The following is a 25,040-nucleotide window of genomic DNA, read 5'->3' as shown; positions in this document are numbered from 1 at the left end:
CGATCTTGGCTCACTGCAACCTCTGCCTCCCGGTTTCAAGCAATTCTCGTGCCACAGCCTACCGAGTAACTGGGACTACGGGTGCATACCATCACACCTGGCTAACTTGTATTTTTAGTAGAGACGGGTTTTCGCCACATTGGCCAGGCTGGTCTCGAACTCCTGGCCTCAAGTGATCTGCCCGCCTTGGCCTCCCGAACTGCTGGGATTACAGACATGAGACACCATGCTTGGCCTAGAATCAAGTTTCTAATTGCCAAAATGTAAAGCCAGACTTGGCGCAATGGCTCATGGCTATAATCCGAGCACTTTGGAAGGCCATGGAGGGCAGATCACTTGAGCTCAGGAGTATGAGACCAGCCTGGGCTACATGGTGAAACCCTATCTCCACAAAAAATACAAAACAAATTAGCAAGGCATGGTGGTGCATGCCTGCAGTCCCAGCTACTTGGGGGTTGAGGCAGAAAGATCACTTGAACTGGGGAGGCTGAGGCTGCAGTGAGCCGAGATTGTGCCACTGCACTCTTGCTGGAGTCACAAAGCGAGACCCTGTCTCAAAAAAAAAAAAAAAGTAAAATCAAAGAAATTAATCCTCCAGATACTTTCTATCAAAGAAAATTTCACATAAAAAACCTTCATCACATGTCCAACAGCAGAAAAAATATTGTTTTAAACTTAATTAAAATGATTCATGATTGTTTACTTAATATTCTTTAATTTTTTAAACTTTTAGAAACTAATTTTAGACAAAGAAAAGCTACAAAAATGGTACAATTTCCCTTATCCCATATGTCTTACTCACTTCTACATTAAGCAGATACAATTATCCACAGGAAATTAACACTGATACAATAACATTAACTAATCTACAAACTTAATTAGAAATCCACCAATTTTCCCACTGATGCTGTTTATCTGTTCTAGAATCCTATCCAGGACCCCACATTATATTTAGGTACTATTTCTTCTTAATCTTCCTCCAATCTTATAGAGTTCTTATCTTCATCTTTCATGTCCTGGATGCTGTCCCTCAATTTGGGTTTTTCCAATACTCTCATGATTACAGTAAGGTTACGAAATAAGGATAGCATTAGATTTTAATCCATAGGATTATACGCACAAACACGCATCATGGACTCAATACTTACATAAATAACCAAATCAATAAACAAGGAAAAGAAAACTCTTTTCCTCACAGAATCCAGTTTAAAAATGTAGAAGGAAAGAGAAAAGCAGAAAACAGAAAAACACTGCAGACAAGATCTACTAATGTATGCTAAAATTAGTGGGCAAAAGTTTGAGGAGAAACAGGATTTGCCTAGTCTCAAAGTATCTCTCAAGATATAGATCAATTAACAAGGGAAAGACAGAAAATTTAAAGGGGAGAAATTTTGCAGACACCAACTAAGACATCAACTGGCTCAGTAATAAAACATAACGGCATAATGAACTACTACTTGGTACCATACAAATGATACAATCAACTATTGTGTTAGTCTTGCCAAAAAGACTCTTTTTAACCTAAATATATTTATCTTAAGGGGAAATCTTTCATCACTAAACAGAAAAACAGCATCACTGGTCACAAACAGAAGGCATCCCCCCAAATTAAATACAATGAAAACTGTATTTTTAAAGTTAAATTTGAAAGTGGCTGCTGCAGGGGCTCACACCTGTAATCCCAGTACTTTGGGAGGCCAAGGCCGGCAGATCGCCTGAGGTCAGGAGTTCGAGACCAGCCTGACCTACATGGTGGAACCCCGTCTCTACTAAAAATACAAAAATCAGCTGGGCGTGGTGGCGCGCACCTGTAGTCTCAGCTACTTGGAGGCCTGAGGCAGGAGAATCACTTGAACCTGGGAGGCAGAAGTTGCAGTGAGCCGAAATCATGCCACTGCACTCCAGCCTGGGTGATAGAACGAGACTCCATCTCAGAAAAAAAAAAGAAAAAAAAAAGTAACTACGGAATTACATAAAAATCTAACAAGTTTATTTATAAAAAGTCCTATCTGAAACTTGATTCCTCAAGGTAAAAGAAACTGTTTATAATCACAACAAAAGAATACGAGACGCTACGCTGCTTAGTTTAAGAGGAAGATTAGGCTCTATTAGACAGTTTTATTTTTAAATTTTGATATTAACCAAAGAATTCTGATTTACATGTCTGTAATTAGATCAGGCAAGCAAATGGTATTTATTTTTTTGGAGACAGAGTCTCGCTCTGGCCCAGGCTGGAGTGCAGTGGGGCTATCTTGGCTCACTGCAACCTCCGCCGCCGGGATTACCATGTGCCACCACGCTCGGCTGTTTCTGTATTTTTAGTAGAGACAAGGTTTCACCATGTTGGTCAGGCTGGTCTCAAACTCCTGACCTCAAGTGATCCACCCGTCTCAGCCTCCCAAAGTGCTGGTATTACAGGCATGAGCCATCGCACCCAGCTGCAAATGGTATTTAATCACGTTCTCTGATACAACTGGATTCTGAAAAGGAATTCCTAACCAAAATGCCATTTTGCTTTAACAAACTTTTGCTTCAAGAAACCATCCACAGTCTGATCTTTTGAATGTGTCCTTTTACTTGGTAATATTCACATATTAATAAAACAGGGTAGGGGGAGACTGTCTTTATCCATTCACCGCCACCAACTGGTTTAGGAAAACATTCATGGAGACCTTTAATCCTAATTCTGTTTTTTTTTTTTAATCTTTTCTTTTTTTCCCCACATGCCTGCTGTGTCAAATACTCCTAACTTTGTAAATGCCATATTCAAAATACTTTTTTCAAGTTTTCCACAATTCTTTCCTCCACAATCATGGTGTGTATGCCATGGTGAAAGTTTGACTCCACAAAGATGTGACACTCTTCTTGAGATAACAGTCAAGGAGAGAGAGACTTTCCTACCTACAAGCTTTCAGGATGAAGGAGAAGTGGGTGCTGGTAGTTACCGCCCATGACTTCACAAGGCTAGAGAATTAAGTCTCCGCCTTTCACAGGAGTGATTATTTCACACTCTATTGATAACGGACTTAATATCCCCGCATACATGAGACTAGTAGGACTGTGTTTTCAATACAAAAAGGGAGCAGACTTTAGTTCTGGTAGTTTCTGGTGCTGGAGCACAATGGACCAAATTCTCATATTAACCCAAGACACCATCTCTGCTTTTACCATTCAACACACTTGGAGTCTATGTTGTCATTTGTCATAAAATCAACAATAGATTTTAAAGCATTTCTTCTAATTGACGAGCTAGAAAAAAAACGTCCCCATGGGCTTGTCTATTCAGCTCATGCCTGACAAAGCAAAGGATTAGCTGAGTTCAGAGTATCAGTGGGCTCATCAGTCTCTAGTGAACAGAACCAAGTTTGTCTTCCCCAGGAAAATAACAGCTGCTCAATGTATTTGTCCCTATCTAAAAATGGACAATGAGCTAAATCATTAGACAAAGGAATCTTGTCCATTATTTTATTTGCTTTGTGACTAATCATCACTTTTAATCACAGCTTTGGCAGCAGCTTCCCACTTGGCCAATTAGCAGCTCTAGCCTTTGTGATTAAATACAACGCACAGATGCAGTGTTCTCTACACCGGTCCTGCCACTCTGTGCATCTACTTTCAACCTGTTTGTTCCCAAAAGTTTAACAGGTTTTGGGTGCTATGGCTTACGGTTTCAAAATAAAGTATGAGTGCATGGTTTCACACTGGAATTTGGCATGTAATAGAATAGGTTCCCTCTCTCGGCCAGTCCATGAAAAACTGGTTTTCAAAAGGCTTCATTATATTTGTGTTTCCTTTGAATTTTCTTCGCAGCCTCCAAGTTAAAGCTGACTCTAGGGCCAGGCACAGTGGCTCACACTTGTAATTCCATCACTTTGGGAGGCTGAGGCAGGAGATCACTGGAAGCCAAGAGTTTGAGACCAGCCTGGGCCATGAAACAAGGCTCCCTTTACAGGAAAAAAAAAAAAAAAAAAAAAAGGAAAAAAGAGTGTACAGATTGGGTCTCACCATGTTTATATGTATCTCTCTCTCTCTCTCTCTATATATATATATATCTATATATATCTGTTGCCCAGGCTGGAGTGCAGTGGCACGATCTTGGCTCACTGCAACCTCCGCCTCCCAGGTTCAAGCAATTCTCCTGCCTCGGCCTCCAAGTAGCTGGGATTACAGGCTTCCACCACCATGCCTGGCTAATTTTTGTGCTGTTTTTCAAAGTAGAGACCAGGTTTCACCACGTTGGCCAGGCTGGTCTCAAACTGTTGACCTCAGGTGATCCACCCACCTTGGCCTCCCAAAGTGCTAGAATTACAGGCATGAGCTACCACGCCCAGCCACCATGTTATATTTTAATGGTCATTTAGGTTGTTTTCAGTTTTTGGCTAATTCAAATAAAACTGCAGTGGATATCCTTGCAAATGTGTCAGTAATGTCTGCAGGTTAAATTTCTTTGTAGGTCAAAGGCTATGTGCATTTGAATTTTAATGAATATTTCCAAATTGCCCTCCAAGGAGATCATGTCAATGTATGAAAAGTGACTGCTGTCCCTTGTCTTCACCTGCACAGTGCAGCGTCTAACTTTTTATGTTTCCACAGTTTGAATCATTTAATTTTTTCATTTGATTATCTTTTCATCTTGTTCTACAAATAATCATTTTCATGATGCTACAAATATTCCCTTTGTTACTCTTTAACCTTGGTTATGATATTTTTATGTGTACAAAGTTTTAATTCTTAATGTAGTCAAATTTCTCGCTTAAGAATTCAGTAGCTGCAGCTTAGGATTATATGCACAGCATGGACTATTACCGTCCACATCACTAGCATGGATTTCTGTATATTGAATTTTTTAATTCATTGTTGCAGGTTTATTTTTAATAGTATGCTGAAATTTCACTTTCAGAAGCTGACACTTACTAGTGTGAGCCACATGCTGATATTCATAATTGTGAATTAGGATCATGCCTACACCTTTATTTTTTCCTCCTACCGCCTGGGCCGGACATGAGTTTTTAAAAGGGTAATTTAAAAAGTCTAATGATGAAGACTCTTATAACTGAAGACATTAACTATAAATAAGGCTGTCTTCACATATAATAAGGACCACATTAATAACTCACTGGAGTCAGCTTTATTTTTTTGGCTGCTGAAAATTATAGGGCATTCACTACATGGAATATCATATAGCTCTTTAAAGGAATGTGGTAGATCTATCTACTGATCAGGAACTGTCTCCGAGAGTATTATTAAGGGGGACAGGAGAAGTACAGCAATCTGTTTAATATGCTCTAGCTTGTGTTTTTTTTTTTTTTTTTAAAAAGAAGGGAATTTACACACCTATATGATTATGTATGTAGAGAACAGCTCTGACAGGATGTGTAAAAATCCCAAAATAGAGTGTGAATGTAAGGATTAAAGAATTGGGGCCGGATGCGGTGCTCATGCCTGTAACGCTAGCAGTTTTGGAGGCCAGGGTAGTGGATCACTTGAGGTTAGGAGTTCAAGACCAGCCCAGCCAACGTAGTGAAACCCTGTCTCTATGAAAAATACAAAAATTAGCCGGGGGTGGTGACATGCGCCTGTAGTCCCAGCTACTTGAAAGGCTGAGGCACAAGAATCACTTGAACCTGGGAGGTGGAGGCTGCAGTGAGCCGAGATCATGCCACTGCACTCCAGCCCAGGTGACAGAGCAGGACTCTGTCTCAAAAAAAAAAAAAAAAAAAAAAAAGAACTGGGGGTGTGAGGAGTGGAGGTGAAAGGCTCTAGTATTTTATTTGACTGTTTACATTCCCATCTGAATGATCACCCATGTACTTATAATATTTTCTCACTTTTAAACAAAGTAGTAACAAAGCAATATGAGAACAAGTTCTAAAAACAGCTCAATATAATGAGGAACAAGTTCACCACTGAGTGGCTGGGAGGAAAGGGGCAAATAAGGTACCAGGAGAAAGCAGTTTGATTTTGAAAAAGGACTGAACTTCCTATTGATTAACAAGTTTTTGGTTTCAATTTATTGTACTCATAGTTGAAAACATCCTTATCTTTCAAATTATGCAGATGTAGAACCCGTAAGGATGCCTAGTAGCAGTTACAGACAAGGTCCATCAAACACCCAAAGGGTCTCTGAAACGACCGAGGCCATCGTCCTGACAGCGTGCACGCTCCCTGCTGTAACTACCCACCAATGTGAAATCCACAGTGAGCACAGCCAACTGCTCTGGGTGCCTGTGGAGCTTTAGGTACTATCGTTATCTTCTCTGAACATTAAATATGACCAAATCTTACAAATGCCATTTACCAAGGTGATTTTCTTTTCGTTTTGTCTTACCAAGATGATTTCAAATGGGGGGAAAATGCTTTCTTCACTAAATAAATTTAGTGGTAACAAAGTTTATTCTTTATTTGAAATAGTAAAGCGTACACAGTTTAAATCAGATTTCATTAAACCCTCAGAATAAAATTTTTATGTTAAAAAACTAGAGTGAATGTCAAAGTAAATTTAAGTAACTTCCAAAAGACCACATGCCCAAATTAACTGCTAACCATTTACAGAACGATTGTTAGCATGTTTGTAAATATCTTGATTTAAAAAAAACCCCAAAAAACTGTGAGGTTTTTGTTTCACCTATTTGGCTTATCTTCCATTAACAATTTACTCCATTTACACAGAATTATCAGCTTCACATCTGTTTCAGTTCAGTATTTTCTGGCTCTCAGGCACTAACATAATGCTAGCCATTTTATACACTTCAAAGAACATTGCCTTTGAGTAAAGGAAAATGTTAAAAGTTAACATTTGTGAGTAATGCATAAGCTACAATGTGTGTGTGTGCGTGTGGAGGGGGTGGGATTCTTTTTTGCAGACCTACATGAAATAAGAATCTCTATGAAAATATGAGAACCGCCAATTTCACAAATGCAAAACATACTTACAGGTGCATCATCATCAGCCACTAAAAATCATATTTATAAAACATAATGCACAAGATGATGCAAGTTCAAAAGAAAGTTTTTAAAATGCTAGGAAAATATTTGACCATTTACCATCACAAAGATGGGGAAAAAAACTGACTATGCATTAACAGCATTTCATTTCTAAGGGATGGGTAGGGTTCCAATAGGTAATTATTAAATACATTTCAGTATAGCCTACATTTCCAATTATAAATATTATTTTACAATCACAAGAGCTCATTTTTAAAAATAAAGTCTGACTACAACCAGTTATAGATTTCTTTGTTCCTTCTCCACTCCTTCTGCTTCACTTGACTAGAGAAAAAATGAAGTATCCAATGCAAAACGCAATCATTTAAATATCACAATATACGCCAAGAGACTTTCTTTTCTTACCTCAGAATTGTGTGGTAAATAAGGCACTATTTTAATAGCAAAACTCTAAAGACAATTTATATGTATCCATTGATAGGAAAGTGGTTATATTAAGTATCAAACTATGCTATGGAGTATTATATACCATGAAAAATAACAAATATAAAGATGCCGATATGGAATCACTAAGATATTTTGTTGAGGTGAAAAAGCAATATGATCTCTCATTTTAACTGAAAATGAGAGGGGAGGACATGTTTATGTTTAGACTTGTTCTGAGAGGATACTGAGAAAATAATGGTGGGAAGTTAGGGGATTCAGTGAGAAGATGATTTCATGGATACTCTTTAGAAGGTCTGACCTTTTATCTTTTTTTTTTAGACAGAATCTCGAACTGTCACCAGGCTGGAGTGCAGTGGTGTGATCTTGGCTCACTGCAACCTCCACCTCCCAGGTTCAAGCAATTCTCCGCCTCAGTCTCCCAAGTTGCTGGGATTACAGCCGCCTGCCACCACACCTGGCTAATTTTTGCATTTTTAGTAGAGACGGGATTTCACCATCTTGGCCAGACTGGTCTGAACTCCTGACCTCGTGATCCACCCACCTCGGCCTCCCTCCCAAGGTGCTGGGATTACAGGTGTGAGCCACCGTGCCCGGCCTATCATTTTTTTTAAACAGAAAAAGTTAACTTTTCCCCCCCCAGACAGGGCCTCGCTCTGTCACCCAAGCTGGAGTGCAGTGGCGCGGTCTTGGCTCACTCACTGCAACCTCGCCCCCGCCCCACCAAGCCGTCCTCCCACCTCAGCCTCCCGAGTAACTGAAACCACAGGTACATATACCACCATGCCCGTTTTTTTGTTTGTTTGTTTGTTTTGTATTTTTAGTATAGACGGGATCTCGCCATGTTGCCCAGGCTGATCTGGAACTCCTGGGCTCAAGGCATCTGCCTGCCTTAGCCTCCCAGAGTGCCGGGAGGAAAAGTTAACTTTTTAAAAAGGCCACTGACTGCAGAGTAGAAACGCAACCATTCTTAGAGCAAGGAAGATTCGTGATAATCTAGTTTGGTTTTATCCTTATCAAGAATTATGACTTTCTGGCTGGGCGTGTGGCTCACACCTGTAATCCCAACACTTGGGATTACCTGGGGAAGCCAAGGTGGGAGGATCAATTGAGCTCGGTTCAAGACCAGCCTGGGCAACGCCGTGAGACCTGGACTCTGTTAAAAACAAATTAGAAAGAGAATTGTGACTCTCCCATTACGCAATACAACAAAGAAAAGCCCAGAAAAGATGAACAGCTAAGTCACAGACAGTTGGTTCCAGAGTTAACTATTTTTTTTTCAAGGTTACACTTTCTAAAATTTCGTCTTTTGCAGTAAAGGGGTTTCACAGTGGCAAGATGTGATGTGAACCATACTAACTGCCAACAATCTAGCGTCTGCTCACACAGCTCTAAAATAATATGTACAAAACTGAACAATTTTGTTTTGTTTTGTTTTTGAGAGGGAGTCCCACTCTTTCATCCAGGCTGAAGTGAAGTGGTGCGATCTCTGCTCACTGCAACCTCTGCTCCCCTGGGGTTCAAGCCATTCTCCGGCCTCAGCCTCCCAAGTAGCTGAGATTACAGGCGCCCACCACCATGCCTGGCTAATTTCAGTATTTTTAGTAGAGACAGGGTTTCGCCATGTTGGCTAGGCTGGTCTCAAACTCCTGACCTCAGGCAATCCACCCCCCTCAGCCTCCCAAAGTGCTAGGATTACAGGCGTGCATCACCACACCTGGCAAAAAATTAAACAACGTTAAAGCTGCACTGTAAGAAAAATTAGTTCCAAAAGATGTAGGACTGTTGGAACCACCTTCTCAGTGCCTGCAGGATGTGGTCCTCAACTTCCCAAGCAGTTACAGGAATGCACAAGTAAAGCAGGAGACAGAAGCAAGATGTGCCGGCAAGACAACCTGCCCAGACACGAGGGAGAGGCCGTACAGCATCCGGATAAACAAACCACAGGGCAGTGTTGGGGGTTTTGCTAAATTATTTGGACTCCAGGCCTTGATTTCTTCCTCCACAGGACACTAACACCTCTGCCTCACATATCAGAAGTCGAGATCAATGAGCTCATAAACGAAAAGTGCCCTGCAGGAGAACAAATAGTGAGGAGCGCAAGGATCTGCATGTGACAAACAAGGAGAGAAACACAAACATCCTTAAAAGAAAATGCCCACTGCAGGTTTTAGGCCCTCATTGCTCTTCAGGCACAAGTGTGGGTGCTTCTCCCTTGATTTCCCTGGCTTCAGGCTTTGCCTCCCTAGATTCAAACACCCAAACTGCCCCCCACGCATCTCTAAAACCTAAGTCTCATTAATGTGCTTAAAACTCTTTAGCGGCTTTCCAGTCCTCCCTGAATATGCCTTAGTGTGGCCTACAATGCTCCCCAGCTCTGTCCCTAATTACCTTTCCCCCAGCTCTCTCCCTGACTACCTTCCTCCCAGCTCTGTCCCTGACTACCTTCCTCCCAGCCTTCTCTTCCACTTTCCCTACACCCTTTGCCCACCCCCATTCTGGCCACAACCTGTAGCTGAACACCACGTCTCCATGGTTGGACAGCTTTGCCCATGCTGTCCCTCTAACTGGTGACAGTAATGTTAATATGTAAATAGTCCTAAGAATCCTACCCAGTCCAGCACACAAAAACTGATGCTTGCTTGGGGTTCTGGAAATAGGATACACACATGGTACTAGAACAGAAGGGGAACAAACTTCTGGGTACGAGGCTGTGCAGAAGAGTTCTCAGATGACGGCCACTTTACTGTGATGCTCCCCTGCTTCTCACTTCACTCACCTCTCCTCCCTGTCATGATGTGGCTACCTCCTGCTCCACGGTTGTCATGGTGACAAACCAAGGGCTGACTGACTTCAAAATCATTGACTCCTCTTGGTCCAATTGCATAGCCCCCTCTTCTCTCCAAGGGCAAATGGATTAAAAAGCTAAATGATCTAAATCAGTGAATTTGCATTGTTACAAAAAATTACTCCTTATGGTTCTACTGGGCTTTTTTGAGGAAGACACTTAAACGGCTTAATAGATAGTATTTCCGGCAGGATAATGCAGGAACCTAAGCATTTCCAAGCAGCATACGGGAGAAGGTAACAGTTCACAAGAAAAGCCAGCACATGATCAGGAGGGCACATCTAGAAAAATAGCATTTTAAGTCAGGTCTCTATTTACTTGTTTTTTAAGCTGCTCCTAGTTTGCCAATTTCTTTGTTACATTTCCAAAGAGCTATACAATCTTCTCCGAGTGAACTCACATTCACCAAAATGTATGTTGACAATGCTTGCTTTTTAACTCACTGTGTTGTTATTTATGTAGCCAATAACTACTGATACAGAAGGTAAGAGGTAAGAAGGAAAACCACAATTTTTAACTCCTAATAGGCTGAGGCAGAAAACACAGCGTATTTGTTTTGCAGCGCCAGCGTTTACGACTAAGCTAAACCTGAAGCTCCCTTCTACGGTGGCTTCAGGATTATGTCCACAGACGCTTTGCTACTGCTGCCCTTTAGGGGGTGGAGCCCGACTCCCCTCACCCCGAGAGTGGGCTGGACAAATACACCATGACCAAAGTCACCACAGGCTTTGCCCTTCCTCCCTGCTCTGTCTGCTCAGCAGCTTAGCGGGAGGCCAGCTGCCATGAGGACACGGTATCCCTAAGAAGCCCCGCAAGCGGCCGAGAACTGACTCTCCTGCCAACGGCCAGCACTAACTTCCAGGCTTGTGAACAGGCCAGCGCAGAAGTAGATCCAGATGCCTGCCCCACAGAACTGACCAAGGTAACAAAAACGTATTGCTTTAAGCTCTATTACACAGCAATAAGCAACTAGTATCTTTCTTTTATTCAATGGAAATTAAGAAACTGGGAAACTAGCTATCTTTACTGTTCAGATAAACATAATTTAAATGCAGACTGCAATCCTGTTTTGTAATCTACTTATTTCCATTAACAATAAATCATGTTCATAAATACAAGTATGTTAATAAATTAATGACAGACATTAATACGCATCATGACCATTTTAAATGGCTGCACAGTATTTCACTGCATTGTTATATTAACGGTTATTTAACAAATGTCCTGTATTTAGACATGTAGGCTGTTTCAGTATTTTTCAGTATTATAAGTAATGCCATAAATCACCTTTCCCATGCATCTTCTCTTATGCATATTAGTTCACTAGAATAAATTTTTACGTTTCTAAATGTAGAAATTTGTTCTGCTGGATTAGAGGGGACATATCTTGTTAGACTCTTTTTTTTTTTTGAGACAGAGTCTTGCCCTGTCACCCAGGCTGGAGGACAGTGGTATGATCTCAGCTCACTGCAACCTCTGCCTCCTGGGTTCAAGCGATTCTCCCGCCTCTGCCTCCCAAGTAGCTGGGATTACAGGCGGGTGCCACCACACTCAGCTAATTTTTTGTATTTTTAGTAGAGATGGGGTTTCACCACGTTGGCCAGGCTGGTCTGGAACTCCTGACCTCAAGTGATCTGCCAGCCTCCACCTCCAAAAGTGCTAGGATTACAGGTGTGAGCCACCATGCCTGGCCTTGTTAGACTCTTGATAAATCTGTTATAACCAACCCTAGGTAGGTTGTGCCCAGTGTCTGTATGCCCTCAGCAACAGCAGGTATTACAGCCTGTAATTTGACCACCATCGAAGGTGATGGGCTATGGAAAGCATGGCTTCTCCTTCATGCTGACAAATGGTAAAGGGCGGCATTTGGAGGCCTGAGACAGGAGAACAAGGACATGCAGAAAGCAGCTGCTTTAAAGGCAGTAAAAAACAGGGGTCACAGTCAAAGAATAAGATGCCCCACTTCCAAATTCCTAGGTGCCTACATTCTATAATAGAAGAATTAAAGAAAAGTCACAGAGTGAAGCTCCTTACAGCTTTTGCAAGAACTTCTTTTGAGGCTATTCTATGGTCTTATGAGACCATCTATTTTTTCAACCTTTTAAGGACCCTAGCTGGCAATTCACACTGTAACTCAAGAAAATCAGCACACATTCAAGTGGTTAAAGCCAAGTAGGGGATATCATGAGGCAAGCCAGATGCTTAAGGCACAAATTTAAGGAGGCACTCACTCTCAGGGATGTGCCAGTGCAGGGTCCGCCTGTGCATGAACCTGAGAGTAAGTGCCTCCTTAAATACTGTATGGTGCTTTACTCACCTCCCTGTAGGCCCAGATTTAATGTCCAAAGAAAATGAGACAATGAGACAATTAGTCTCAAGTCTCACTCCTTCCATTCCGCTTGGTTTCTATTTTTAAAAATCGGTTGAATTCCTGGCCAGGCATAGTGGCTCACGCCTGTAATCCCAGCACTTTGGGAGGCTGAGGTGGGTGGATCACCTGAGGTCAGGAATTCGAGACCAGCCTGACCAAGATGGTGAAACCCATCTCTACTAAAAATAGAAAAATTAGCTGGGTGTGGTGGCAGGCACCTGTAATCCCAGCTACTCCGGAGGCAGAGGCAGGAGAATTGCTTGAACCTGGCAGGCGGAGGTTGCAGTGAGCCGAGATTGAGCCATTGCACTCCAGCCTGGGCGACAAGAGCAAAACTCTATCTCAAAAAACAAAAAAAGAATTCTTAACCTTATCTATAGCAGGGAACTACAGTCTTTTGCTCCTACATGTAAAGGATACAGCATAACTGTATTCGAAGGAACAAATGCAGTGTTGCTAAATAATACCAGTCCTGACAGTCAATTAACATTTTCAGAGCCAGGCTGGGGTTGGGTAGTGGCAAGCCTGGAGTTCCAGCTCCTCAGGAGGCTGAGGCAGGAGAATCGCTGGAGATCAGGAGTTTGAGGCTGCTGTGCACTATGATCATGCCTGTGAATAGCTACTGCACTCCAGCCTGGGCGACACAGTGAGGCCCTGTCTCTTAAAGGAAAAAAAAAAAAAAAAAAGAACTAATTTGATCTTAGAAAATATTTTGACTTTATTTGATGCCAGATCTGTAAGAAAAAGTTTTTATGTTCCACTACAATGTATATGGAGCATTATACTATCACATCCATTACACCTCTGCTTTTTAAAACAAAATAGCACAAAACATTTTAAGTTAAAATATTCTAGGTAATCCCTTCAATTATATAATAGAGGGCAGTTTTACAAAACTAGGTAATCCCTTCAATTATATAATAGAGGGCAGTTTTACAAAACTAAGCAATCAAGTTCTTACCATCTTAACAGTCTAGACCTATCATAGGGGAGGAATTAAAACTAGAGTAATTGAGGCCAAGCATGGTGGCTCACACCTGTAATCCCAGCACATTGGGAAGCTGAGGTGGGCAGATCACTTGAGGCCAGGAGTTCAAGGCCAGTATGGACAACATGGCGAAACCCCATCTCTACTAAAAATACAAAAAAATTAGCCAGGCCTGGTGGTGGGCGCCTGTAAGCCCAGCTACTTGGGAGGCTGAGACAGGAGAATCACTTGAATTCGGGAGATGGAGGTGGCAGTGAGATCGCACCACTGTACTCCAGGCACTCCAGCCTAGGCGACAGAGGGAGACTCTGTCTCAAAAAAACAAAATAAAACAAAAAAACTATAGTAATTGGTTTTGGTAGGCCCTAGAGTATCCTCATTCCATAAGGCCAGTATCACCCTAATACCAAACCAGACAAAGACATCACAAAAACACCCTAAATTGATGTCCCTCATCAAAAGAGATGCAAAAATCCTGAACAAAATATCAACAAGCTCAATCTAACATCGTATACAAAGAATTATGCATCACAGTCAAGTGGGATTTATTCCAGATACGCAAGACGGGCTCAATATTCTAAAATGACTTAATGTGATCCATCATATCCACAAGCTGCAGAAGGAAAATCACATAACATTAACAGATACAGAAAAAGCATCTGACAAAACCCAACCTTCATTCATGATAAAATTCTGCAAACTAGGAATAGAGGGGAATTTCCCCAATTTGATAAAGAATATCTACCAAAAAACCCACCAAACATCATACTTCATGATGAGAAACTCAAAGCTTTCCCACTAAGATTAAGAACAAGGCAAGTTCTCACCACTCCTTTTCAACTATAATCCTACCTAATGCAGTAAGACAATAAAACACATTGCTTTCTGATGGTCTTAGAAAAGAAAAAAGAAAAAAAAGGCATACAGATCAGGAAGGAAGAAATAAAACTGTCTTTGGTTGCAAATGAAATGATTATCTGTGCAGGAAATTCCAAGTATCAACCAAAAAACCACTCCTGGAACTAAGAAGTGATTATAGCAAGATTTCAGGACATAAGGTTAGTACATGAAAGTCAATTGCTTCTCTACAAATAAGCAATGAACTGGAATTTGAAACTGAAACACAATACCATTCACATTAGCACCCCTTAAAAATAAACGCTTAGGTATAAATCTAACAAAATAGGTATAAGGTATATATAAGGAAAATTATATAACCAATGAAAGAAATAAAAGAACTAAACAAATTAAGAGATATTCCATATTCATGGATAGGAAGGCTCAACACTGTCAAGATTTTAGTTTTTCCCAACTTGATCTACCAATTCAGCACAATCCCAATCAAAATTCCACAGGTTTTTTTTGTGAATATCAACAAACTGACTCTTATGGAGAGGCAAAAGATCCACAATAGCCAACACAATACTAAAGAAGAAGGAAGTCGAAGGACTCACACTACCAGACTTCAATGCTTACTATGGTTGGGCGCGGTGTCTCACTCCCGTAACCCCAGCACTTTGGGAGGCTGAGGCAGGCGGATCACTTCAGGTCAGGAGTTCAAGACCAGCCTGGCCAACATGGTGAAATCCAGTTTCTACTAAAAATACAAAAATTAACCAGGTGTGGTGGCACATGCCCACCCAGCTACTCAGGATGCTGAGGCAGAAGAACCACTTGAACCCAGAAGGCAGAGTTTGCAGTGAGCCGAGGTCACAACACTGCACTCCAGCCTGGGCAACAGGAGGCTCCCTCTCAAATTAAAAAAAAGTTTAGTTTAATATATATACTAAGTAGTACAGTTTACTACAGATCTGTTACAGTAATCAAGATGGTATGGTATTGACAAAAGGGAGAGAGATCAATGGAGGAGAGAATAAAGCCATAACAGAGCTTAGAAACAGATCGTAAAGGCCGGACGCAGGGGCTCATGCCTGTAATCCCAGCACTTTGGGACGCCCAGGCGGGCAGATCACGAGGTCAGGAGTTCGAGACCAGCCTGACCAACATGGTGAAACCCCCGTCTGTACTAGAGTAGCCAGGTGTGGTGGTGCACACCTGTAATCCTAGCTACTCGGTAGGCTGAGGCCGGAGAACTGCTTGACAGAGGTTGCAGTGAGCCGAGATTGCGCCACTGCACTCCAGCCTGGGAGACAGAGCGAGACTTCGTCTCAAAAAAAAAAAAGAAATAGATCCATAAAAATATAGCCAACTGATCTTTGACAAAGGAGCAAAGGCAGGCATTCAATGGAGTTGGGGAATGTCTTTTCAGAAATGGTGCTAACTGGACATCCACAAACAAAAAAACTTCAAAAATTAAAAATCTAGACACAGATTTTATATCCTTCACATAAATTAACTCAAAATGGATCAGAGACCTAAATGTAAAATACAAAATTATAAAACTACTAGAAAATACGAGAAAATCTAGGTTACCTTGGCTTTGGTAATGACTTTTTAGACACAACGCGAGAAGCAAGATCCATGAAAAAAACACTGGTGAGCTGGACTTCATTAAAATTCAATAGTTCTCCAATGTCACAAATGTACCACACAGATACAAGATGTAAATAACAAAGGAAACAGCGTGCAGCGGAGAGGAGGTTTTGAGGACTCTATTATAGTTTCCCATCAATTATTCTGTAAACCGTAAACCACTCTAAAAAAAAAGCTTATTAATTGATAAAAAATAAAGTAAAAAGAAATGAACTGTCAAGCCATGAAAAGAGCCTTAAATGCATAGTACTAAGTGAAAGAAACCAATCTGAAAAGATTACATAGTATATGATTCCAACTATATGACATTCTGGAAAAGGCTAGAGTAGAAACAGTAAAAAGATCAGTGGTTGCCAGGTGTTACAGGGATGGGAGGGATGGATGAATATGCAATGAGGATTTCTTCCTTTTTTCTTTTTTAAAAGAGTATCACTCTCGTCACCTAGGCTGGAGTGCAATGGCGTGATCTCAGCTAACTGCAATCTCTGCCTCTCGGGTTCAAGCAATTCTCCTGCCTCAGCCTCCTGAGTAGCTGCAATTACAGGCACCTGTCACCACGCCTGGCTAATTTTTGTATTTTTAGTAGAGATAGAGTATCACCATGTTGACCAGGCTGGTCTCGAACTCTTGACTCCAGGTGATACACCCTCCTTGGCCTTCCAAAGTGCCGGGCCTCCTCCTTTTTTCTTTTTTTTGGAGACAGAGTCATGCTCTGTCACCCAGGCTGGAATGCGCTGGCACAATCCAGGCTCACTGCAACCTCCACCTCCAGGGCTCAAGTAATTCTCCTGCCTCAGCCTCCCACGCCCAGCTAATTTTTTGTATTTTTAGTAGTGACGGGGTTTCACCACGTTGGCCAGGCTGGTCTCAAACTCCTGACTGCCTACCTCGGCCTCCTAAAGTGCTGGGATTACAGGCATTAGCCACCACACCTGGCCAGCAATGAGGATTTCTAGGGCAATGACACTCTTCTGTATAACGCTGTAAGGGTAGATACATGTCATCATATATTCGTCAAAACCTACACAATGCACAACACACAGTGTGAACCTGAATGTACACTATGGACTTCAATTAATAATAACACATCGACATTGGTTTATCAATTGTAACTGATGATCCACATTAATGCCAGATGCTAGTAATAGAGAAAAGTGAGGTGAGGGAGACTAGGCATATGGGAACCCTACCCTCTGCTTGATTGTAAACCTGAAACTGCTCTAAAAAATAAAGTCTATTTTTTTTTAAAAAAAGCACTGGACAAACATTAAAGTGATCTTAATTCTACTCCCACTATTGTCAGATCTACAAAAACTTAAAAAATTTCAGTTCCTCCGGTCTACAAACTTTTCTATATCCATATTCATCCCTAGCTTCTTTAAGTCTCAAAATATTTCCCATTGCCTGCTCCCACTCAGTTCTCCCCTCTCGGGTATTCTCGAAGACTCTGAAAGTTATGCCACTCCTGTCTTCCCCACATTTTTAACCCCCGTCCTTCCCAGTCTATAAACTTAAGTTTCCCCCGTCTCCCAAAACAGACAAAACTATTTCCGAGACACCGAATTTCCCTCTATCATCCAATCTTCCGGTGCTTTTCAAAAAAGGTCTACACTGTTGCCTTGCCCCTGCCTTATTTTTTAAGAGATGGGGTCATGCTGTGTCGCCTAGGCTGGAGTGCTATGGCATGATCACAGCTCACTGCAGCCTTGAACTCCCGGGATCCAGCGATCCTCCCGCCTCAGTCTTCGGTGTGGCAGATTGTAGGCGTGCGCCACAGCATCCGGCCTGTGTTCGGCCCTGTTTGTGACTTCCCATTCACTCTCCAATGTGCTATGCTCTTGACTTCCAACTCTGACTACCCTACAGAATATGCTCAAATCACCCAATTCTTCCCAGCTCCGCAGTCAGTGGACTCACTGTGTCTGTGCAGCACTTGGCATTGCCTGTCACTCCTCCCTCCCTGAGATTCACTCCCTGGACACCACTCTCCTCCACTCCCGGAGGTGTGACTCTTTTGTAAGTATCCCCAACTCCCACACATATTAAATGTTGCAGTACCTCACGAGTCCCACCCTGTCCCAAACTCCAAGTCCTCTTAAGGACCTGTGTTCGAAGCCACCATTCTGTTGATAACCCCCAAATCTGCATCTCTAGCCTAGACTCCTTCCTGTGCCTGTCCCACAGGAACTCAGGCATTCAGTCAACGACCACTCCCCGCTTCTTGAAGAATCTACCCCAGCCCTCAGGTGCACCTAGACTGTTCCATCTGAACCAAGCCTCCAAGCCCTCCTCAGACTGAGGTTATCAGGTGGAAACATGACCCAGGCCAATCAGACTTTCCTCTCCTGAAAACTGGTAATTATGATCAAACTTTCTTGACGCTTAAGCTAGGAAACCATGTGTGAGAAATGGAGAAAGCCAGTCTGCAGAGCCAGGAATGAAGGAGACAGGAAGAAGGGAGTGCACCCAGCTCCTGGAGAAAGACAAGCAACTCCTGTGGTGGTGATACCTGCTATCTGGGTGTTTCTGACCTTTCTATTCTGTCAGACACGCCTATCCTTTCATAAACTTGTTTTTGTTTCTTTTTGTTTTGCCTACTAAGCTAGTTTTAGTCCATTTCTGTACTTGAAATCAGATGACCCCGTGATATTCTTCTATACACTACCAAGAAAAACATACCCCCAATTAAACTGCATCATGCTATCAGTGTGTATCCCGATGTCAGAAATATTTAAAGATAGAAATCAGTGTGACTTAAAAAAAAATTTCAGGCTGAGCGCAGTGGCTCATACCTGTAATCCCAGCACTTTGGGAGGCTGAGGCAGGCGGATCACCTGAGGTCGGGAGTTCGAGACCCGCCCGACCGACATGGAGAAACCCCATCTCTACTAAAAATACAAAATTAGCCAGACGTGGTGGTGCAGGCCTGTAATCCCAGCTACCCGGGAAGCTGAGGCAGGAGAATCGCTTGAACCCGGGAGGTGGAGGTTTGTGGTGAGCTGAGATCGCACCATTGCACTCCAGCCTGGGCAACACTGCGCTCCAGCGTGAGCGAAACTCCATCTCAAAAAAAAAAAAAAAATTCAACTTTTATTTTAGAGTTAGGGGGTACCTATGCACGTTTGTTACAAGAATATACTGCAGGACGCGGAGGTTTGGGGTGTGAATGATCCCATTACCCGGGGAGTGAGCACAGTTACCAACAGGTAGCTTCCCAGCCCTTGTCCCCGTCCCTCTCTTTCCCCCTCTAGTAGTCCCTGGTGTCTATCATCCCATCTTTATGTCCATGTGTAATCAATGTTTAGCTCCCCAAAGTGACTTTGAATCAATGTAATCCAATCTACATGTACTCCACACACCCCGCTCCACGAACCTGGAATGCCTTCTCGTCTTCCACCCATCCTAATTACACCCATCCTTCAGGACTAAGCTCCAAACAATTCTACTTTTTCTGAATCAGGACCAAGGGAAATTTAGAATGTAGCAATTACTCTATTGTTATTTAATTTTTAATTGCTTAAGTCTTATCTGCCCAACAAGATTATCAACTTCTTCAAGTCAGACTTGTCGTACACAGATCTATACAAATAATAAATACTAAAAGTATTTAATTTGAAAAAAGAAAAAGCTTATTCAAAGGTGGTAACCACTCCATTTTCCACTAAGCTCCAGAAAGGGAAGATTTCAAATAATAATTTAAGACATGAGAAAAGGGTCACTATAACTTCATTTTTCCAACAAGGGAAGGGACTTATGCGGCAGTCAAAGAGAATTCAGGAAAACAAGCATATGTAGGTGCTCAACATAATTAGTTGTCAGGAAACAAAATTAAAACCACAAAGAAACTACATCCTCACTAAAATTAAAGGACTTGCAATATCAAGTGTTGGCAAGGATGTGGAAACCTGGATACCTTCAGATGCTGTGGGCGTGCGACACGGGGAAACTGTGGCAGCGGTGTGCACAACAGCTGAACATGCGTATCATCTAGGACCCAGCACAAGAGTATTATGTGCACCAAAAGGCACACACAGCAAAGGTCTGTAAGAAAACAGAATCAGCCACGGTGCGTTCACACAAAGGGCAATGCCGTGCACCGAGGCGGATGGAGTCCACCTCTCAGACAGAAGCCAAGCCAAAGCAGCCGGGCACAAACGACAAGTGGTGAGTGGCTCCATGCCCCTGAAGTTCAACAGGTAACGCTCATCTACAGTAATGGAGGTCAGAAGGACAGTCACCTTTGTGGGGCTACAGACATACATGGCATAATGACCTCTCAGTCTGTCGACAACAGACCACATATACACCGTGGTCCCATAAGATTATAATTTGTATTTTTACTGTATCTACGTTTGGATGCACAGACACTCACCATTGCATGAAGAGCTGCCTACAGTATTCAGCACAGAAACACGCTGTCCAGGTGTGTAGCATAGGGGCAACGGGCTGTACCAAGCAGCTAGGTGTGCAGTGGGCAACACTGGCTATAGGTTTCTGTTAAGTGCACTCTAGGACGGTCCCACAACAACCAACTGGACTAGTGACAGCGTCCCCCTCTTTAAGTCACATATGACTGTAATGAATGGGTGAGAGTGCAGGGGAGCCTCTGGAATGCTGGGGATGGTCTTCCTTTGATGTGAGTGGTGTTCCATCTACAGGAGAGTGTCCATATGCAAAAATCCTTCAAGCTGTACATACAGCTGGCTCCCCACCCAGATTCCTTAACCAGGCCAGGGCACCCATGCCCCAGCTGCTGCCAGTTCCTACTAAGGGCTCTTTACTGCCACTCTCTCCCAGAAGAATGGCCCTCGGCTCAGGGTTAGCAGTGCCACACTCCCACCCTCATCCCGGAGGGGCAGCAGCCTGCAGCCACCAACCCCTCTGCCGCAATTAGGGCCAATTGTAGCATGCTCCTGGTGAGATGGGGTTAACGCTAGCCTCCAGCTGAGACGCCTTTTCCTTCCCTACCCAGCTTCCCTCTCGCCCTTCCTCCTCAATTTCACTTGCACAAGGATCTCTTTAGTGTTTGTGAACCTGACTGTATCTTAAGTTATACCTCAATAAAAAGAGTTTTGTTTTTAAAGGGGTGATTCTTTTACACAGCTCGTGCTATCTTCCCTTGAGATTCTGATCAACAGTTAAGAAATCTCACTCCCTCAGAGCAGAGATGCACTCCTTGGTGAAAAGGGACCAACATCCGTGGCCCGTGGGGTGTTCCTGCCTGCAACAGAGGCCGCGCGGCGCTGTGTAAATGGCATGGAGTCTCAGATGGTCTGCCACTAGCTTGCTGTGTGAATGGGCACTCCTTCAAATGTTCTGCAGCTCACCTTCCGAACTTGTAAGCAAGGCGATTTGGCCCTGAGATTCTCTGAAGTCTCTCCTAACTGTAGAAATCCTTTGATCTCATAAAACATTTTCATTAACGTGGAAGACCCTAAGTGCTACCACGACCACCCTTAACTGCACAGTACTTAGTTCTGGAGCACAAGTGACTTCCAAGCAATCACCATCACACGAACCTCAAAGCTGAAAAATTATCAGCACACTTCTCTCCCAACTCTTTACCCAGGTTCCCTTCTAACCTCAGAAACCACCAAACACAGCCCCACAGCACAATCTTAATAACAGCAGTTCCTCCTTGGCCTGCCAGCACCCACTCTGCGTTATGTGCCTACCTGGTGGTTGTGATATACAGAATATACTGATAGACAAGAAAAACTAGGTGAAGCATTTTAAAGAACATTTCAGAAATGATGGGAAGGGGTGGGAAGGGAGGGGCGGGAACAAGACCACACAGTGTTCAACGACTTAGCGGTTCCAGTGAACCAACTGATGCCCGTCTTCAGGGACAGACAGCTAGAAATTCTAGACTAGAACAGAGGCGTCATGGTTTGCCTACCCTTATCCTAAACAATTACCATGCGAACAACTTAATGTCGATCACAACAGATGTAAGTCCGGAGTCTCTCCACAGTTTCCAGGAGGCTGGTGGCAAATAATTGCCCTCGTCTTGGATTCAAACACGTGGCTATTCATGAGACGTTCTGCCTCTACTTTAGAGATTATCGACATCAGCAAATGCGTGCCGTTCACCTTCTACAACCGAAAACGCCCTTCAGGTGGCATTCGAAAAGCAGCCACTCCCTGATGCCATGCGGGAGCGAGCATGGAAAGCGCATTTCTGAAAGGAAACACCCAGAAAGGGTAAGTTCACCTTGGGTGGCACAAAGCGTGCCAGGGTTCACCGGCCTCCTGCATGGAAGGGAGCCACGGCCAGCGCGCCCGGGTCCCGAAGCGCAGTGGACAGGCAAGGCCCCCACGGGCGCGGCCTCGAGTTCCAGCCAGGGAGGCCCCGAGTCCAGTCCTAAGCCCCAGCCAGAGTCCTGGCCCCAAGTCTCGGCTCCGAGTCCAACCCCGAGTCCCGGCCGGAGCGGCCCCGAGATCCGGCGAGGAAGCCCCGAGTCCCCGCCAGGGAGGCCCCGAATCCAGCCCCAAGTCTCGGCCCCGAGTCCAGCCCCGAGTCCAGCCCCGAGTCCCAGCCCCGAGCCCCGGCCGCGCAGGCCCCGAGCCGAGGGCGCCCCGCCAGCCCGGCCCTCACCTTCCTGCTCGCGCCGCCAAGGGACACCTTGGGCCGCGTCTTGAAGTCGCCTTCGAAGCTGAACATCCTGGCAGCCTAGCCCATGTGCGGGCAGCGCCGCCGCGGAAGCAGCCGGGCGGGCGGGGCACGGGGCGGGCTGGGAGGCTCTCGGCGCCCGCCCGCCCGGCCCGGGGCAGCGAGGACGCGGCGGCCGGGAGGCGACCCGAGCCCGCCCCCGGGCTGTACCCTCCCAGCCCTGCCCTGGGGCGGGAGGGGCGGCAATACTGGAGGGGCGGCCCTGCCTCGCCTGCCCCTCATCCACGCCGGCCACAGCTCGGGCCGCTGCAGGGGCGCCCAGCGGGCAGCAAACCCGGCGCTTGCACCTGGAACTGCCGCCTCGGGAGGGAAGATGGCGGTCAGCCGTCAGTGCGTGCGCGGCCCTGCAGACGTGCGCGGCCCTGCAGACGTGCGCGGCCCTGCAGACGTGCGCGGCCCTGCAGACGTGCGCGGCCCTGCAGACGTGCGCGGCCCTGCAGACGTGCGCGGCCCTGCAGACGTGCGCGCCTCCGCCATTGACGGCACGGCGCTCTTCCCGGCGGTTCCGCTAGCGTGCGCGGCCCCGCAAGGCGCGCTGGAGCCTGGGGAGGACGGCGGTGACGCGGGCTGGGCACGCGGCGGAGTGGGCGGGGCCTGGTGCGTGCTGGGGGAGCGCGGCGAGGGGCGCGGGAGGTGTTGGGTGCGGGGCAGGGTGCGGGAAAGGTGGAGTGCGAGGCACGGGCCGGGATGGGGTGCAGGGCAGGGTGCGGGGTGCAGGGTGGGGTGCAGGGGCCGGCACCCGGAGCGGGCTGGGAGCGGCCAATCTGGTGCCAGACTCGAGTGAGGCGGGAAAGGAGCAGCTAGGCCCAGCCCGTCTGTTTACATCCCACCTGTTCTATGTCTATGACACGCACAGACGGACGTAAATATTTACCATGTACACAGACATGCGCAGATTTGCCTCATACATAGCACACATATGCATCTATAGATACAGCATCAATACATATAAATATGTATCATGTACACATACCTGTGTATGCAAAAATATTTGCTCCTGGACTTACCATGGGGCTTTGTCCTGATAAACCCATCGTAAGATGAAAATATTGTAAGTTGAAAATGTATTTAATGCTACAATAAACCCATCACAAAGTCAAAAAATTGTAAGTTGAGCCATTTTAAGTTGGGGACCACCTATACATAAACATGTGTCTTATATCCACACATACGTATACATAATATCTCATATACATGTGCATATACATATATATCATACACGATTGAAACCAATTTCTAAAAATTGATTTTTGGTTGTATACAAGGTGTGCAACATGATGATTTCATAGAGACATTGTGAAATGACTACCCTCTTTGTGTGTGTGTGGTAAGAGTACATAAAATCTACTCTCTTAGCAAAATTTCAACACACAATACGATATCATCTACAGTCGTCCTGCGGCCGAGCACGGTCGCTCACGCCGGTAATCCCAGCACTCTGGGAGGCCAAGGCGGGCGGATCACCTGAAGTGAAAAGTTCGAGACCAGCCTGGCCAACATGGTGAAACCCCATCTCTAATAAAATACAAAACTTAGGCCGGTGTGGTGGTGCACGCCTGTAGTCCAAGCTACTCTGGAGGCTAAGGCAGGAGAATTGCTTGAACCCAGGAGGCAGAGGTTGCAGTGAGCTGAGATCGTGTTATTGCACTCCGGCCTGGGCGACACAGAGACTCCGTCTCAAAAAAAAAAAAAAAAAAAGAAATACAGTCCTGGCGCCGCCTGTAATCCCAGCACTTTGGGAGGCTAAGGTGGGTGGATCACCTCAGGTCAGGAGTTTGAGACCAGCCTCGCCAACATGGGGAAACCCCGTCTCTACTAAAAGTACAAAAATTAGCTGAGCATGGTGGCATGTTTATGTATAGGTGGTCCCCCACTTAAAGTTCTTAAACTTCTAGCTGCTTGGGAGGCTGAGACAAGAGACTCGCTTGTGTCTGCGAGGCGGAGGTTGCAATGAGCTGAGATCGTGCCACTGTACTCCAGCCTGGGTGACAGAGTGAGACTCTGTCTCAAAAAATAAAAATAAACAGGCCGGGCGCGGTGGCTCACGCCTGTAATCCCAGCACTTTGGGAGGCCGAGGCGGGCAGATCACGAGGTCAGGAGATCGAGACCATCCTGGCTAACACAGTGAAACCCCGTCTCTACTAAAAATACCAAAAAAATTAGCCAGGCATAGTGGCAGGCGCCTGTAGTCCCAGCTACTTGGGAGGCTGAGGCAGGAGAATGGCGTGAACCCGGGAGGCGGAGCTTGCAGTGAGCCGAGATCGCGCCACTCGCGCC

General features: G+C 44.7%; 1 protein-coding gene across 4 annotated transcripts in view, besides 3 other annotated features; it reads right to left on the bottom strand.

Annotated features, from left to right (window-relative positions):
* UBE3C (ubiquitin protein ligase E3C) overlaps positions 1 to 23,100 on the bottom strand; it is a 130,445-nt gene extending 107,345 nt beyond the window's left edge. For 3 of the 4 annotated variants that reach the window (NM_014671.3, XM_005249564.5, XM_047421073.1), the window contains exon 1: positions 22,688 to 23,100. In NM_014671.3, the coding sequence (NP_055486.2) occupies positions 22,688 to 22,753 (66 nt within the window). In that variant the 5' untranslated portion in view covers positions 22,754 to 23,100. Of the gene's footprint in view, positions 1 to 22,007; positions 22,237 to 22,687 lie in introns of those variants that run through there. The other variant, XM_047421072.1, reaches the window with a different exon arrangement.
* Positions 22,469 to 22,538: a silencer, noted in NCBI's record as "silent region_18862". NCBI's record gives its function as "represses an Ori minimal core promoter by ATAC-STARR-seq in GM12878 lymphoblastoid cells {active_cell/tissue: GM12878}" and the evidence as "EXISTENCE:reporter gene assay evidence [ECO:0000049][PMID:35858748]".
* Positions 22,589 to 22,978: a silencer, noted in NCBI's record as "silent region_18861". NCBI's record gives its function as "represses an Ori minimal core promoter by ATAC-STARR-seq in GM12878 lymphoblastoid cells {active_cell/tissue: GM12878}" and the evidence as "EXISTENCE:reporter gene assay evidence [ECO:0000049][PMID:35858748]".
* Positions 23,259 to 23,608: a silencer, noted in NCBI's record as "silent region_18860". NCBI's record gives its function as "represses an Ori minimal core promoter by ATAC-STARR-seq in GM12878 lymphoblastoid cells {active_cell/tissue: GM12878}" and the evidence as "EXISTENCE:reporter gene assay evidence [ECO:0000049][PMID:35858748]".

Source organism: Homo sapiens, chromosome 7 (assembly GCF_000001405.40).
Source record: "Homo sapiens chromosome 7, GRCh38.p14 Primary Assembly".
Classification (NCBI taxonomy): domain Eukaryota; kingdom Metazoa; phylum Chordata; class Mammalia; order Primates; family Hominidae; genus Homo; species Homo sapiens.
This window is presented reverse-complemented; position numbering and strand designations above follow the sequence as displayed.